Source organism: Homo sapiens, chromosome X, assembly GCF_000001405.40.
Source record: "Homo sapiens chromosome X, GRCh38.p14 Primary Assembly".
Lineage (NCBI taxonomy): Eukaryota > Metazoa > Chordata > Mammalia > Primates > Hominidae > Homo > Homo sapiens.
This window is the reverse complement of record NC_000023.11, coordinates 75,623,589-75,641,722: the sequence shown is the minus strand read 5'-3', so window position 1 is coordinate 75,641,722 and position 18,134 is coordinate 75,623,589. Positions and strand designations below refer to the sequence as shown.

The window sequence follows — 18,134 nt, the reverse complement described above, 5'->3', positions numbered from 1 at the left end:
TAAAGAAAATATGGCACATATACACCAGGGAATCCTATGCAGCCATAAAAAAAGAATGAGATCATGTGCTTTGCAGGGACATGGATGAAGCTGGAAGCCATCATTCTCAGCAAACTAACACAGGAACAGAAAACCAAACACCACATGTTCTCACTCATAAGTGGGAGTTGAACAATGAGAACACACTGAAATGGGGAGGGGAATATCACATTGCAGGGCCTGTTGAATGGTGGAGGGCAAGGGGAGGGAGAGTATTAGGACAAATACCTAATGTATGTAGGGCTTAAAACATAGATGATGGGTTGTTTGGTGTAGCAAACCACCATGGCACATGTATACCTGTGTAACAAACCTGCACGTTCTGCACATGTATCCTGGGACTTAATGTAAAAAAAAAAATCAATTGGTCATATTTGTTAGGTCTATTTCCAGACTCTCTATTTCGTTCCATTAATCTATGTGTCTATCCATTCACCAACACCATGAAGTCTTGAATAAGTAGGTCTTTAATTTAAGTGTTGTGATTCATCCAACTGTATTCTATTTTCCCCCAATTTTCCTGACTATTCTAGTTCCTTTGCCTCCCCATAAAAAAATTACAAACAGCTTTCTATATTTAAAAAGAATCCCCATGGCATTTTAATGGCAATGATGTTAAATCGGTATATAAATCTACATAGAATTGACATTTTTACTATGTTGTATCTTCCATTCCAAGAACATTGTTATGTTTCTCCATTTATTTAGGTCTTCTTTGATTTTTTATGAACATTTAATACTTCTAAGCATAAAAATTCTTTAAATGTTTTGTTAGGTTTATACATATTTTGGTCTCTTTGAGCATATTTGAATAGTATTGTAATTTTAGTTTCAGTTTCCAATTGTTTACTGCTAATATATAGAAATACAGTTGCTTGAGACCTTGTATCTGAAGTTATTAGACCTACCCTTTATGCAACCTTATCTCAACTGTTTTCATGACTTCCAACAACCCCTGGCTATCACTTGTGGTCCTCTACAAGGAATCTTCAGGATCAAAATAACTAGTCTGGGGGACTATCACCACCAGGCTGTCCTCTCAGCAGGCACATCTCCCACCATGTCTAAATAAACAGACATCCTATTTGGAAGTTAGCTTCCCATAAAACTCACTAACCTGCCCAAAGGAAAAAAAAAAAACGTCCTGATAAGGCCATTTCTTACCTGACACAGCAGCTACCACGAGAGACTAAGATTTGATCATTTATAGTTATTTCACTCCAGAGGCCTAAAGATTGAGCCATAGGCCTATGACCTAGCTCCCGAATCATCAGCAAATACTTTAGAGTACAGTCTGCCACACAGACAGACACATAGGCAGCTGGAACTGCCTAATAAATAGAGAAAATTAATAAGATCTAATATTTGATAGCACAACAGGGTAACTATAAGTAGTAATTTAATTTTACACTTAAAAATAACTAAAAGTATAATTGGATTGTTTATAACACAAAGAATAAATACTTGAGGTAATGGGAAGAAAATAAAATAGAGAACTTCTCAAGGAAACGGTGAGAGACATCGTCAGGAAAATATAGAATAATCAGGCTATTTTAAAGTCCTTTAATTCCCCCATAAGCTAAGGAAAACTATCTAGGAAATATCTTTAGCTCCCATACTCTATGGTGGTGAAGGCAGGAGTATATTGAATGTATCATGTCTCAGAAGTTCTGATTTTCCTCTCCTCACACTGCTTCTACATAAGGAAATATGTCCTTAGAGACTTTGAGTCTGTGTATATATCAGTGAGGGAAAGGTTATGTAAAGGAAGGGCCTATTCTTAAAACCACAAAGAGAACCACTAAGGCAAACTGATATAAGGCAGGAACCTCTGGGGTCTAATAATCACTCATTCAGTCTCCCCTAAAATTGGTGTGGCAATTTTTAGGAAGATAAGGTACATAGGTGACAACTGCTGTTTTGTGGGCTACTACATTTATTGTCCTAGAAGACTGAAATTGTATAGGGTCCCCCCAACAATCTCAGCACCTAGGCAGCTAGAGGACAACAGACTTTGGGCCCAGATATAAAGTAGCTATCTTTACCCTCAAGGGTCAGTGTGTGCCTGCCCATGACTGGGCCCTCCACACATCACTCAGTATTCATAAAATATCCAGTCTCCATCTTTTGCACCCTGACTCACACATTATCATGGCAGAGCACCAACTATGGACAGTGCCGTAATATAGTTTGGATATTTGTCCCTGCCCAAATCTCAGGTTGAATTGCAATACCCCATCCTGGAGGTTAGGGCCTGGTGGGAAGTGTTTGGTTCATAGGGATGGATCTCTCATGACTTGGTGTTGTCTTGGTGATAGTGAGTTCTCACAAGCTCTGGTCATTTAAAAGTGTGTGGCACCTTCCCCTCACTCACTATCTGTTGCTCCTGCTTTCACTACATAATATGCAAGCTCCTGCTTAACCTAATGTCATGAGTAAAAGCTCTGTGAGGCCTCCCCAGAAACCACGTGATGTCAATTCTATACTTGCTGTACAGCCTGCAGAACTGTGAGCCAATTAAACCTCTTTTCTTTATAAATTACCCAGTCTTAGGTATTTCTTTATAGGAACGCAAAAACAGAGAATTTTGTCGGGATCATGGGACTAGATTGCAACTCTGGACAGAGCAGCATGTGGAGGCTTGCACTGTGCATTTTAGCTCCAGATCAACTGCAAGAACAAACGGGCAATACTGAGAGGACTCACAGACCCTCTGAAGGAAGTGGACTGCTCCTGCAGGACCCCAGAGACACCCCAAATACGGTGAGTGCCCCAACTGTGGAAGTAGGAAAGGGAGACCCTCCTCTCCTGAACACACAGCTGAAGGTCTGTTTGCAAGAGAAGTTTCTGACTTTACCTGGAGCTGAGTCAAGTCAGAGTGCCAAACCAAGTGAAATACAGGGGTAGAGGGAGCAGCAGAAAGGCCCCAGGAGATCGCGAGATCCCCAAGCAGCCCATTCCTGCCTGGTACCACAAGGATCCATTACAAGGGTGGCCAGAGGCGCAGGGAGTAAAACTCTACAGAAAGAAGGAATTCTCTAGCTGAACTCTGTAACAATTTGAAAGGGTGAGAAGCCTCTTGGCCAGAACTCTGGGGTGGGGGAAGAGGCACAAATCCCGCTTGCAGACTTCACAGGTGGTGGAAGAACTAAAGCTCTTTTCTTTTGCAGCTGGGAGGTGGAAAGTATCCAGCAAGTTTTCAAGCCTGTCTCACCCTCTGCCTGGAAACAGACTCGGGGCTGTTGTGGGCTGCACAGTGGGACTGAGAATGGCCCTCTGGTTTATGTGGCAGCTGGGTGAGGCCTGTGACTGCTGATTTTCCCCCACTTCCCTGACAACCTGCATGACCCAGCAGAGACAGCCACAGTCCTCCTAGGTACACAATTCCTGTGACTTGGGAATCTCAACCCCATCCCCCACAGCAGCTGCAGCAAGACCAGCCCAAGGAGACTCTGAGCTCAGACATGCCTAGCCCCACCCCCACCTGATGGTCTTTCCCTACCCATCCTGGTAGCAGAAGACAAAGGGCATATAATCTTGGGAGTTCTAGGGCCCCACCCACTGCTGGTTGTTCTCCACAGTACTACAGCTGATGCTATCTGGAAAGCACTACCTCCTGGCAGGAGACAACCAGCACAATAATAGAGCATTAAACCACCAAAGTTAAGGACCCTCACAAAGTCCACTGCACCTTCTGCCACCTCCACCAGAACAGGCACTGATATCTACAGGTGAGAGACCCATAGAGAGTTCACATCACAGGACTCTGTGCAGACCCCAGTACCAGTCCAGAGCTGGGTAGACTCACTGGGTGGCTAGATCCAGAAGAGAAACAACAAGCACTGCAGTTCGGCTCACAGGAAGCCACATCCACAGAAAAACGGGGAGAGTACAACATCAAGGGAACAATCCGTGGGACAAAAAATCCTGAACAACAGCCTTCAGCCCTAGACTGTCAGGCTTCTGAGCCGAAGCTCAGCCATTGTAACCCCTGTGACCTGCACATATATGTCCAGATGGCCTGCAAGAGCCAAGAAGTCTGGGGCAACCCAAAACTACAGAAGAAGTAAAACAGCCAGCTCTTGTCTTAACTGATTGACCAACCTTACAACATTCCATTATGACTTGTTCCTGCCCTGCCCCAACTGATTGATCAACCTCGTGACATTCTTCTTCTGGGCAATGAGTCTTATGATCTCCCCACCATGCACCTTGTGACTCCCTCCTCTGCTGACTGTAACTTTCCACTGCTTACCCCAGTCCTATAAAACTGCCCCACCCCTATCTCCCTTTGCTGACTCCTTTTTCGGACTCAGCCCACCTGCATCCAGGTGAAATAAACAGCTTTATTGCTCACAGAAAGCCTGTTTGGTGGACTCTCTTCACACGGACGCATATGACATTTGGTGCCAAAGACCTGGGACAGGAGGACTCCTTCGGGAGACCGTTCCCATCCTCGCCCTCACTTCGTGAGGAGATACATCTATGACTTCAGGTCCTCAGACCAACCAGCCCAAGGAACATCTCATCAATTTCAAATCAGGTAAACAGTCTTTTCACTCCCTTCTCCAGCCTCTCTCGCTACCCTTCAATCACCCTGTCCTTCCAATTCCAGTTCTTTTTCCTCTCTAGTAGAGATAAAGGAGACACATTTTATCTGTGGACCCAAAACTCCGGTGCCAGTCACGGACTCGGGAAGACAGTCTTCCCTTGGTGCCTAATCACTGCGGGGACCCCTGCCTGATTATTCACCCACATTTCAGAGGTGTCTGATCACCACGGGGACGCCTGCCTTGATTCTTCACCTTAGTGAATAATCCAGTACTAGAGTCCATAAAAACTCCCCTGGGTGGCAAGTACCACCACCCACCTCCATGTCTCTACCCTCTCTTTTCTCTGGGCTTGCCTCCTTCACTACGGGCAACCTTCTACCCTCAATTCCCTCTTCTTCTCCCTTAGCCTGTGTTCTTAAAAACCTAAAACCCCTTCAACCAACACCTGACCTAAAACCTAAACGTCTTATTTTCTTCTGCAATACCGCTAGGCCCAAACACAAACTCAACAGTGGTTCCAAATGTTCAGAAAATGGCACTTTTGATTTCTCCATCTTACAAGACCTGGATGATTTTTGTCGAAAAATGGGCAAATAGTCTGAGATGCCTGACATCCAGGCATTCTTTTACACATTTGTCCCTCCCTAGTCTCTGCTCCCAATGCGACTCATCCCAAATCTTTCTTCTTTCTCTCCTGTCTGCCCTTCACCCCAAGCTCTGAGTCCTTTGAATCCTCCTTTGCTATGGACTCATCTGACCTCTCCCCTCCTCCCCAGGCTGCTCCTTGCCAGGCCAAGCCAGGTCCCAATTCTTCCTCAGCATCCGCTCCCCCACCATATAATCCCTCTATCACTTCCCCTCCTCACAACCAGTCCGGCTTACAGTTTCATTCTGTGACTAGCCCTCCCCCAACCTGCCCAACAATTTCCTCTTACAGAGGTGGCTGGAGCTGAAGGCATAGTCAAGGTTAGTGTTCCTTTTTCTTTATCTGACTTCTCCCAAATCAGTTAGTGTTTAGGCTCTTTTTCATGAAATATGAAAACCCAGCCCAGTTCATGGCCTGTTTGGCAACAACCCTTAAATGCTTTACCACCCTAGACCCAGAGGGGCCAGAAGGCCGCATTATTCTCAATATGCATTTTATTACCCAATCCGTTCCCGAAATAAAGCTCCAAAAATTAGATTCCAGCCCTAAAACCCCACAAAAGGACTTAATTAACCTCGCCTTCAAGGTGTACAATAACAGACAAGAGGCAGCCAAATGGCAACGTATTTCTGAGTTGCAATTACTTGCCTCCCCTGTATGAGAAACGCCAGCCACATCTCCAGCACACAAGAACTTCAAAATGCCTAAACTGTAGCAGCCAGGCATTCCTCCAGGACCTCCTCCCACAGGATCTTGCTTCTAGTGCCAGAAATCTGGCCACTGGGCCAAGGAATGCCCGCAGTGCAGGATTCCTCCTAAGCCATGTCCCATTTGTGTGGGACCCCACTGGAAATTGGACTGTCCAACTCACCCAGCAGCCACTCCCAGAGCCCCTGGAACTCTGGCTCAAGGCTCTCTGACTGACTCCTTCCCAGATCTTCTCGGCTTAGTAGCTGAAGACTGACACTGCCTGATTGCCTTGGAAGCCTCCTGGACCATCACAGACACTTTGGCTAACTCTTACAGTGGAGGGTAAGTCCATCCTCTTCTTAATCAATAAGGAGGCTACCCACTCCACATTACCTTCTTTTCAAGGGCCTGTTTCCCTTGCCTCCATAAATGTTGTGGGTACTGACAGCCAGGATTCTAAACCTCTTAAAACTTCCCAACTTTGGTGCCAACTTGGACAATATTCTTTTATGCACTCCTTTTTAGTTATTCCCACCTGCTCAGCTCCCTTGTTAGGTCGAGACATCTTAAAATATCTGCTTCCCTGACTATTCCTAGGCTACAGCCACACCTCATTGCCTCTCTTTCCCCCAGTTTAAAGCCTCCTTTGCATCTTCCTCTTGTATCCCCCCACCTGAACCCACAAATATGGGATATCTCTACTCCCTCTCTGGCAATCTACCACACGCCTACTAAAACCTTTACCCTTACCCTGCTCAACGCTAATACCCCATCCCACAGCAGGCTTTAAAAAGCTTAAAGCCTGTTATTACCCGCCTGTTACAACATGGCCTCTTAAAGCCTACAAAATCTCCTTACAACTCTCCTATCCTAACTGTCCAAAAACTGGCCATTCTTACAGGCTGGTCCAGGATCTTCGCCTTATCAACCAAATTGTCTTGCCTATCCACCCTTTGGTGCCAAGCCCATATACTCTCCTATCCTCAGTACCTCCCTGTACAACCCATTATTCTGTTCTGGATCTCAAACATGCTTCCTTTACTATTCCTTTAGACCCTTCATCCCAGCCTCTCTTTGCTTTTACCTGGACTGATCCTGACACCCATCAGTCCCAGCAGCTTACCTGGGCTGTACTGCCTCAAGGCTTCTGGGACAGCCCCCATCACTTCAGCCAAGCTCTTTCTCATGATTTACTTTCTTTCCACCCCTATGCTTCTCACCTTATTCAATATATTGATGACCTTCTACTCTGTAGTCCCTCCTTTGAGTCTTTTCAACAAGATACCCTTCAGCATTTATTTTCCAAAGATAATGGGTATCCCCCTCCAAAGCTCAAATTTCTTCCACATCTGTTAACTGCCTCGGCATAATTCTTCTTGAAAACATGCATGCCCTCCCTGCCGATCATGTCCAGCTGATCTATCAAACCCCAACACCTTCTACAAAGCAACAACTGCTTTCCTTCCTGGGCATGGTTGGACACTTCAACCTTTGGATAACTGGTTTTGCCATCCTAACAAAACCATTTATAAACTCACAAAGGAAAACCTAGCTGACCCCATAGATCCTAAATCCTTTCCCCACTCCTCTTTCCATTACTTAAAAACAGCCCTAGAAGTTGCTCCCACACTAGCTCTCCCTAACTCATCCCAACCCTTTTTCATTACACAAAGCCGAAGTGCAGGGCTGTGCGGTAGGAATTCTTACAAAAGAGCCGGGACCGCGCCCTGTAGCCTTTCTGTCAAAACAACTTGACCTTACTGTTTTAGGCTGGCCTCCACATTATTCCTGATACCTCACCTGACCCCCATGACTATATCTCTCTGATCCAGCTGGCATTCACTCCATTTCCCCATATTTCCTTTTATCCTTCTCCTTACCCTGATCACACGTGGTTTATTGATGGCAGTTCCACCAGGCCTAATCGCCACTCACCAGCAAAGGCAGGCTATGATATAGTATCTTATACATCTATCATTGAGGCTACCGCTCTGGTCCACTCCACTACCTCTCAGCAAGCCTAACTCATTGCCTTAACTTGAGCCCTCACTCTTGCAAAAGGATTGCGTGTCAATATTTATACTGGCTTTAAATATGCCTCTGACGTCCTGCACCACCATACGGGCTGAAAGAAGTTTCCTAGTGAGCAAGGGTCCTCCATCATTAATGCCTCTTTAATAAAAACCCTTCGCAAGGACGCTTTACTTCCAAAGGAAGGTGGAGCCATTCACTGCAAAGGCCATCAAAGGACCTCAGACCCCACTGCTCAAGGCAACAGTTATGCTGATAAGACAGCTAAAGAAGGAGCCAGTATTCCTACTTCTGTCCCTCATGGCCAGTTTCTCTCTTTCTCATTAGTCACTCCTACTTACTCTCCCACTGAAGTTTCCACCTATAAATCCCTCCCCACTCAAGGCAAATGGTTCTTAGACCAAGGAAAATACCTCTTTCCAGCCTCACAGGCTCATTCCATTCTATCGTCCTTTCATAACCTCTTCCATGTGGGTTACAAGCCACTAGCCCGCCTCTTAGAATCTGTCATTTCCTTTAAGACATTTGCCCTGCATTTCACTCCATCCTTGGCTACCTTCCCCTTGTTCTTTGGAATCTCCTCCTAGCCCCTCCACTTGCTTGCTTATAACCAGCCCCATGAATAGCAGTGAAAGGTTACTCATAGACATTATGAGCTTACTCATACACCATAAAAATAGAACCTCCCCCTCTACCCAGTTGCCCCATCAATCCCCATTACAACCTCTAACATGTGCTGCTCTCACTAAATCCCTAAGAGTCTAGGTGCAAGACACCTCTTTTGGTGCTTCTTCTCATCTTTTCACTTTACATTTCCGGTTTTGCCTTACAAAGGTCTTTTCTTCCTCTGCAGCTCCTCCACCTACATGTCTACCTGCTAATTGGATAGGTACATGTACGCTAGTTTTTCTTGTTTCCAAAATTCAATTTTCTAATAGGACCATGCAACTTCCTGTCCCCCGCATGACACCAACCAGACAAAAAAGAATTATTCCTCTAATCCCTCTACTTGTAGGCTTAGGACTTTCTGCTTCCACTACTGCCCTTGAAGCTGGAATAGCAGGGGTTTCAACTTCTATCACGGCCTTCTGTAGCCTTTCTAATAACTTTTCTACTAGCATTACAGATAAATCACAAACTTTATCAGTCCTTCAGGCCCAGGTTGACTCCTGAGCTGCAGTTCTCCTTCAAAGTCGCCAAGGACTTGACCTACTCACTGCTGAAAAAGGAGGACTCTGTGTATTTTTAAATGAACAATTTTGTTTTTATCTAAAACAATCCAGCCTGCTATATGACAACATACAAAAGCTTAAAGATGCCCAAAAACTCGGCAGCCAGGCAAATAATTATAGTGGATCCACCTGGACACTTTCTAACTGGGTGTCTTGTCTCCTCCCTATTCTTAGTCGCCTGGTACCTGTGTTTCTCCTTCTCTTATTCAGGCCTTGTGTCTTCTGTTTGGTTTCTCAATTCATACAAAACCACATTCAGATCATTACCAATCATCCTATACGACAAATGCTACTTTTAACGACCCCACGGTACCATCCTCTGCCCCAAGATCTCCCAACAGCCTAAATTCCTATTCCTTGTAACTCATTATAAAATTTTTTTAAGGTGTCCATGCAGTCCCTGGTCACGCTTTAAGCAGTCCCAAGAAACATCGCCCCTACACCAATAATCCCCAGTAAAACTTATATTTTCTTTATCTTTTATTATAACTTTATATTTTATAAATAAAAAGACAGGAATGTCAGACCTCTGAGCCGAAGCTCAGCCATTGTAACCCCTGTGACCTGCACATATATGTCCAGATGGCCTGCGGGAGCCAAGAAGTCTGGGGCAACCCAAAACTACAAGAGAAGTAAAACAGCCAGCTCCTGTCTTAATTGACTGACCAACCTTACAACATTCCATTATGACTTGTTCCTGCCCTGCCCCAACTGATCGATCAACTTCGTGACATTCTTCTGGGCAATGAGTCTTATGATCTCCCTACCATGAACCCTGTGACTCCCTCCTCTGCTGAAAATTGATAACCACCTTTAACTGTAACTTTCCACTGCTTACTCCAGTCCTATAAAACTGCCCCATCCCTATCTCTCTTTGCTGACTCCTTTTTTGGACTCAGCCCTCCTGCACCCAGGTGAAATAAACAGCTTTATTGCTCACACAAAGCCTGCTTGGTGGACTCTCTTCACATGGATGTGCGTGACATAGATCTTCCCTCTGACAGAGCCTACCCAAATGAAAAGGAACAAGAAAACCAACCCTGGTGATATGACAAAACAAAGCTTGTTAACACCCCCCAAAAATCACACTAGTTCACCAACAGTGGATCCAAACTAACAAGAAATCCTCCATTTACCTAAAAAAGAATTCAGGAGGTTAGTTATTAGGCTAATCACAGAGGGACCAGAGAAAGGCAAAGCCCCACGCAAGGAAATCCAAAAAAATAATACAAGAAGTGAAGGGAGAAATATTCAAGGAAATAGATAGCTTAAAGAAAAAGCAATAAAAAATTCAGGAAACGCAGAATACACTTTTAGATATGCGAAATTCTGTGGAAAGTCTCAGCAATAGAATTGAACAAGTAGAATAAAGAAATTTAGCGATCAACGACACGGTCTTTGAATTAGCCCAATCCAACAAAGACAAGGAAAAAAGAATAAGAAAATATGAACAAAGCCTCCAAGAAGTATGGAATTATGTTAAATGACTAAACCTAAGAATAACTGGTGTACCTGAGAAAGAAGACAATTCTAAAACCTTGCAAAACGTATTTGGGGGAATAATCAAGGAAAACTTCTGTGGTCTTGTTAGAGACCTAGACATGCAATTACAAGAAGCACAAAGAACATCTGGGAAATTCATTGCAAAAAGATCTTCACCTAGGCACATTGTCATCAGGTTATCCAAAGTTAAGACAAAGGAAAGAATCTTAAGGTCTGTGAGACAGAAGCACCAGGTAAACTATACAGGAAAGCCTATCAGATTAACAGCAGATTTCTGCCAGAAACCCCACAAGCCAGAAGGGATTGGGGCCCTATCTTCAGCCTCCTCAAACAAAACAATTATCAGTCAAGAGTTTTGTATCCGTGAAACTAAGCATCATATATGAAGGAAAGATACAGTCATTTTCAGATGAACAAATGCTGAGATAATTTGCTATTACCAAACAACTACTACAGGAACTGCTAAAAGGAGCTCTAAATCTTGAAACAAATCCTGGAAACACATCAAAACAGAACGACTTTAAAGCATAAATCACACAGGACCTATAAAATAAAAATACAAGTTAAAAAGCAAAAACAAACAAACAAAACAAAGCACACAGGCAACAAAGAGCATGATGAATGCAACAGTACCTCACATTTCAATACTAACATTGAATGTAAATGGCCTAAATGCTCCATTTAGAAGATACAGTACTGGAGAATGAATAAGAACTCACCAATCATCTGCTGCCTTCAGGAGACTCACATAACACATAAGGACTCACAAAAATTTAAAGTAAAGGGGTGGAAAAAGGCATTTTGTGCAAATGGACACCAAAAGCGAGCAGGGGAGCTATTCTTATATCAGACAAAACAAACTTTAAAGCCACGGCAGTTGAAAGAGACAAAGAGGGACATTATATAATAGTAAAAGGCCTTGTCCAACAGGAAAGTATCACAAACCTAAATATATATGCACCTAACACTGGACCTCCCAAGTTTATAAAACAATTACTAATAGACGTAAGAAATGAGATAGACAGCAATACAATTATAGTGAGGGACTTCAGTACTTCACTGACAGCAGTAGACAGGTCAATCAAGACATAAAGTCAAAAAAGAAACAATGGATTTAAACTATACGTTGTAACAAATGGACTTAACAGATATATACAGAACATTTTATCCAACAACTACAGAATACACATTCAATTCAACAATGCATGGAACTTTCTCCAAGATAGACCATATAATAGGACATAAAAGGAGGCTTGATAAATTTAAGAAAATTGAAATTATATCAAGCACTGTCTCTCACTATAGTGGAAAAAAAACTGGAAATAAACTCCAAAAGGAACCTTCAAAACCAGGCAAATACATCGATATTAAATAACTTGCTCCTGAGTGAGCACTGGGTCAAACAAAATCAAGATGGAAATTTAAAAATTTCTTTGAACTGAATGACAATAACAACACAACCTAGGACAGGCGCAGTGGCTCACGCCTATAATCCCAGCACTTTGGGAGGCCGAGGCGGGTGGATCACAAGGTCAGGAGATTGAGATCATCCTGGCTAACATGGTGAAACCCGTCTCTACTAAAAATACGAAAAAAAAAAAAAATTAGCCGGGCATGGTGGTGGGTGCCTGTAGTCCCAGCTACTCGCGAGACTGAGGCAAGAAAATGGCATGAACCTGGGAGGCGGAGCTTGCAGTGAGCTGAGATCGCGCCACTGCAGTCCAGCCTGGGCAACAGAGCGAGACTCCCTCTCAAAAAATAAAAATAAATAAAAACAAAAAACACAACCTATCAAAACCTCTGGGATACAGCTAAGGCTGTGCTAAGAGGAAAGTTCAGAGCCCTAAACGCCTATATCAAAAAGTCCAAAAGAGCACAAAGAGACAATCTAAGGTCATACCTCAAGGAACTGGAGAAACAAGAATAAACGAAACCCAAACCCAGCAGAAGAAAGGACATAACCAAGATCAGAGCAGAACTAAATGATACTGAAACAAACAAACAAATCTCCACAAAAGATAAATGAAACAAAAAGCTGGTCTTTGAAAAGATAAATAAAATGGATAGACCATTAGCAAGACTAACTAAGAAGAGAGAAAAATGCAAATAACCTCAGTAAGAAATGAAATATGAGATATTACAACTGACACCACTGAAACAGAAAACATCATTTAAGGCTACTATGAACACCTTTATGTACATAAACTATAAAACCTAGAAGAGATGGATAAATTCCGGAAAAATACAACCCTCTTAGTGTAAATCAGGAAGAAATTGATACCCTGAACAGACCAATAACAAACAGTGAGATTGGAATGGTAGTTTAAAAATTACCAACAAAAAAAAGTCCAGGACCAGATAGATTCACAGCAGAATTCTACAAGACATGCAAAGAAGAATTGATGCCAATCCTTTTGACACTATTCCACAAGATAGAAAAAGAAGGAACCCTCACTAATTCATTCTATGAAGCCAGCATCACCCTAATACCAAAATCAGGAAAGGACACAATCAATAAAGAAAAGTACAGACAGATATCTTTAAGGACTGTAGATGCTAAAATTCTTAACAAAACACTAGCTAACCAAATCCAAAAACATATCAAAAAGATAATCCACCATGATAAAGTGGGTTTCATAACAGGGATGATTTAACATATGCAAGTCAATAAATGTGATACACCACATAAACAGAATTAAAAACAAAAATCACATGATAATCTCAATAGATGCAGAGAAAGTATTCAACAAAATCCAGCATCCCTATATGATTAAACCCTCAGAAAAATCGGCATGCAGGGGACATACCTTAATATAATAAAAGCCATCTAGGACAAACCCACAGCCAACATAATACTGAATGGGGAAAAGTTGAAAGCATTCCCTCTGAGAATGGGAACAACACAAGCATGCTCATTCTCACCACTCCTCTTCAACATAGTACTGGAAGTCCTAGCCAGAGTAATCAGACAAGAACAATAAATAAAGGGCATCCAAATTGGTAAAGAGGAAGACAAACTGTCCCTGTCTGCTGAAGATATGCTTGTTTACCTGAAAACCCTAAGGACTCCTCCAAAAATCTCCTAGAACTGATAAAAGAATTCAGCAAAGTTTCCAGATACAAGATTAATGTACACAAATCAGTAGTTCTTCTATATACCAACAGTAACCAAGCTGAGAATCAAATCAAGAACTCAATCCCTTTTACAATAGCTGCAAAAAAAAAAAAAATACTCAGGAATATACCTAACCAAGGAGTTGAAAGACCTCTATAAGGAAAACAACAAAACGCTGCTGAAAGAAATCATAGATAACACAAACAAATGGAAACACATCCCATGCCCATGGATGGGTAGAATCAATGTTGTGAAAATGACCATACTGCCAAAAGCAATCTACAAATTCAATGCAATCCCCATCAAAATAAAACCATCATTCTTCACAGAGCTAGAAAAAACAATTCTGAAATTCATATGGAACCAAAAAATAGCCCACACAGCCAAAGCAAGATTAAGCAAAAAGAGTAAATCTAGAGGCGTCACACTACCTGGTTTCAAATTATAATATAAGGCCGTAGTACCAAAACAGTATAGCACTGGTATAAAAATAGGCACATAGACCAATGGAACAGAAGAGAGAACAAAGAAATAAACCCAAATACTTATAGCCAACTGATGTTTGACAAAGGAAACAAAAATATAAGGACGCCCTTTTCAACTAATGGTGCTGGGATACTTGGCTAGCCACATGTAGGAGAATGAAACTGCATCCTTATCTATCACCTTATAGAAAAATCAACTCAAGATGGATTAAGAACTTAAACCTAAGACCTGAAGCTATAAATATTTTAGAAGATAACACTGGAAAAACCTTTCTAGGTATTGGCTTAAGCAAGGATTTCATGACCAGGAATCCAAAGGAAATGCAATAAAAACAAAGATAAATAGTTGGGACCTAATTAAACTAAAGAGCTTTTGCACAGCAAAAGGAACAGTCAGCAGAGTAAACAAACAGCCCACAAAGTGGGAGGAAATCTTCACAATCTATACATCTGACAAAGGCCCAATATCCAGAATCTACAATGAAGTCAAACAAATCAGCAAGAAAAAAACAAACGATCTCATCAAAAAGTGGGCTAAGGACATGAATAGATAATAATCAAAAGAAGATATACTAATGGCCACCAAACATATAAAAAATGCTCAACATCACTGAAGATCAGGGAAATGCAAATCAAAACCACAATGTGATACCACTTTACTCCTGCAAGAATGGCCATAATCAAAAAATAAAAAAAAGAGTAGATGTTGGCATTGATATAGTGATCAAGGAACACTTCTACACTGCTGGTGGGAATGTCAACTAGTACAGTCACTATGGAAAACAGTGTGAAGATTCCTTATAGAACAAAAAGTAGAACTACCATTTGATCCAGCAATCCCACTACTGGGTATCTACCCAGAGGAAAATAAGTCATTATTCGAAAAAGATACTTGCACACCCATGTTTATAGCAGCACAATTCTCAATTGTAAAATCGTGGAAACAACCCCAATGCCCATCAATCAATGAGTGGATAAAGAAAATTGTGGCATATATATATAATACTCAGCCATAAATAGGAATGAATTATGAATTAACAGCATTTGCAGTGACCTGGATGAGATTAGAGACTATAGTTCTAAGTGAAGTAACTCAGGATTAAAAAACCAAACATCATACATTCTCACTGATATGTGGGAGCTAAGCTATGAGGACGCAAAGGTATAAGAATGATGCCATGGACTTTGGGGACTTAGGGGAAGGGTGGGAATGGTGTGAGGGATAAAAGACTACAAATATGGTGCAGTGTATACTGCTCCAGTGATGGGTGCACCAAAATCTCACAAATCACCACTAAAGAACTTACTCATGTAACCAAACAAGACCTGTACCCCAATAACATATAAAAAAAAATTAAAAAATTAAAATTAATAAAACAAAACAAACAATAAAACAAAAACAAAAAAGCAAAAAGAGAAACAAAACAAAACAAAAAGCCTAACACGGTCATGTAACAAACAGAACACTTGTTTGGAAAAAATGTAGAAATTTTATGAAATAAGCTTCAAGTTCTACCAAGGAAAACAGGAATATAGTAATACAAAGTGTTGTTTCTCCCATACCTATCCCCCGTCGTTCCCCTTCTTGTTAATGGCACCAATACCTTTCAGCATTGACTGTGAAATCACTCTCACCATCTCACAATCCAGTAAGAAAATCATATAGACCATAAGTCTGTAATGTCTCACTGGCTAATACTTCCACATTATCATGTCTTACCTAGAATTTTAAAAAGTATTTCACCTACTTAGCACTTCTTACTCCCTCCAATGCATCTTTTAAAATATATCATTCTCAAACTGATATTTTTAAACCACAGATCTAAGTTATAATGTATCTTTCACTCTCTTGCCCACAACCCTTTGACAAAGAGATAAAGCAGAAAATATCTCTGCTGAGCACACATTGGCCACCAGGTTCTGATTCCCATCTATTCTTTCAAGCACAAAACACAGCTCCACACCATTCATGCTCCTTATGAATGACTATGACTTATTTCCCTGAAAACGGCCCCTGAGTCACACAATGAAGCCTCTGATTGGAAATTCTCTTACTCCACTCAATTATCATGTGATTAACATGGCCTATCTTCTTTCCTACTATGACATCAGAATTCATTTTCTTGAGCTTTAGTGCTTTTTGTGGCCTTTGTATAGATTCTTCCCTGGTGCCCCAGGTTCTGGCACATAGAAGCTGGACATTTATCCCTGCAGTCTCTGAGAGATAAGAATGTAGGAGGCAGCAAGTCCTGGGTGAGAGAGGAAGCTGGATTAAGTACCACTAGGAATAAATGCAGAGGGAAAAGCAGATCACTGGCTGGGAGAAGCTTTTGGTCTTCCTAGAGATATGTGAACAATCACTCTTTTACAGACATAAGAATGAATATTATCTCTTTTCCAGGTACCTTACCCTCACTAAACTTGGTTGGGGGAAGTCTTCACATTGCAACATACACAGTTTTGGTCTTTTTAGAGATATGTGAACAATCATTCTTTTACAAACATAAGAATGAATATGATCACTTTTCCTGGCACCTTACCCTCACTAAACTCGGTGGAGAGAAGTCCTCCCATTGCAACACACACAGAAGATGTAGTCTCCATCCGACTCTCTTAGTCTGACATTGAGGGTCTGGCTTCAGACAGAATGACAGTTTTGCCCCAGAGACCTTGCATATGGAAGAGCTGTATGTGGTAATTAAACTTCTTCCTCCACTCCCTCCAGCATCTGTGACAACAAACAAGAGGATAGATATATTAGACCACAAAGCTTCACAAAGAAAAATGTTTGTACATGTCTGTACATCTGACATCCGACACCCCTCATAATGAACCTGTCTTATGGGTTCTGCCACACAACCAGGCCTGATTATAAACCACAGCCTGACCAGCACCAACAATGGCAGAGGCATGAACCCCAATTATGCTGCCAGGGCTATACCACTCTATACCCCAGCTCCACCACTGGGGTCTGTATGGTATGGAAGCATGGAAGCCCCAACACCCAACATAAAGATTCATCAATTTCCTTCAACACCCAGACTGAACATAAGCACTGTAGCCCCACCCAATCTTTATTTGAAATGGTTTCTGCACCTTGTCTTTTATACACAACCTTGATCAGATCCAGCTGTTTCCTGAATACGACAATAGCCAGGATAAAGTCCTGAAACCTGACTCTGCATCTGTCTCAATTCAAAACAGGAAGATGTAACTAGTCCTGTAAGTAATTGGCTCCTGTCCCTGTAATATATCACGTTCAGTTGTAATCCCCAATGATGGAGGTGGGAAGGTGACTAGATCATGGGGGTAGATTTCTCACAGTGGTTTAGCACCATCACCTTGGTGCTGTTCTCATGATAGTGAGTCAGTTCTCCTGAAATCTAGTTGTTTAAAAGTGTGTAGCACCTCCCTCGCCCTCTTACTCCTGCTCCTGCCATGTAAGACGTGCCTGCTTCCCCTTCACCTTCCACATGATCATAAGTTTCCTGAGGCTTCCTCAGAAGCCAAGCAGATGCCAGCACCAAGCTTCCTGCACAGCCTGCAGAACCATGAGCCAATTAAACCTCTATTCTTTATAAATTACCCAGTCTTAGGTATTTCTTTATAGTAATGTGAGAATGGCCTAAGACACCCTGTCAATCTGCACCTGGGCAGTGTCTTCATAATTCAAGGTGCAGTACAGCAATTCTGACACTGGAGGCTGCGTTGCCTAACAAATAATCACAAGAGCCAGAATTATTCAGGAAATATCTGAGACTGGCCTTTATCTCTAAGAGACAATGGAAAGAAGATTTCCAATAAATATTACAGTTAGTGGCATAGAGGTTTTCCCTCTTT

At 42.0% G+C, this 18,134-nt stretch overlaps 1 long non-coding RNA gene across 11 annotated transcripts in view; it reads right to left on the bottom strand.

The window, feature by feature from the left end:
* The window catches only part of LOC107985664 (uncharacterized), a 270,484-nt gene that overhangs the window by 151,888 nt on the left and 100,462 nt on the right, over positions 1–18,134 (bottom strand). For 8 of the 11 annotated variants that reach the window (XR_007068273.1, XR_001755894.2, XR_007068272.1 and 5 more), the window contains one exon: positions 16,835–17,022. This is a non-coding gene — a long non-coding RNA (uncharacterized LOC107985664). Of the gene's footprint in view, positions 1–15,764; positions 17,023–18,134 lie in introns of those variants that run through there. The other 3 variants (XR_007068270.1, XR_007068271.1, XR_001755895.2) reach the window with 2 other exon arrangements.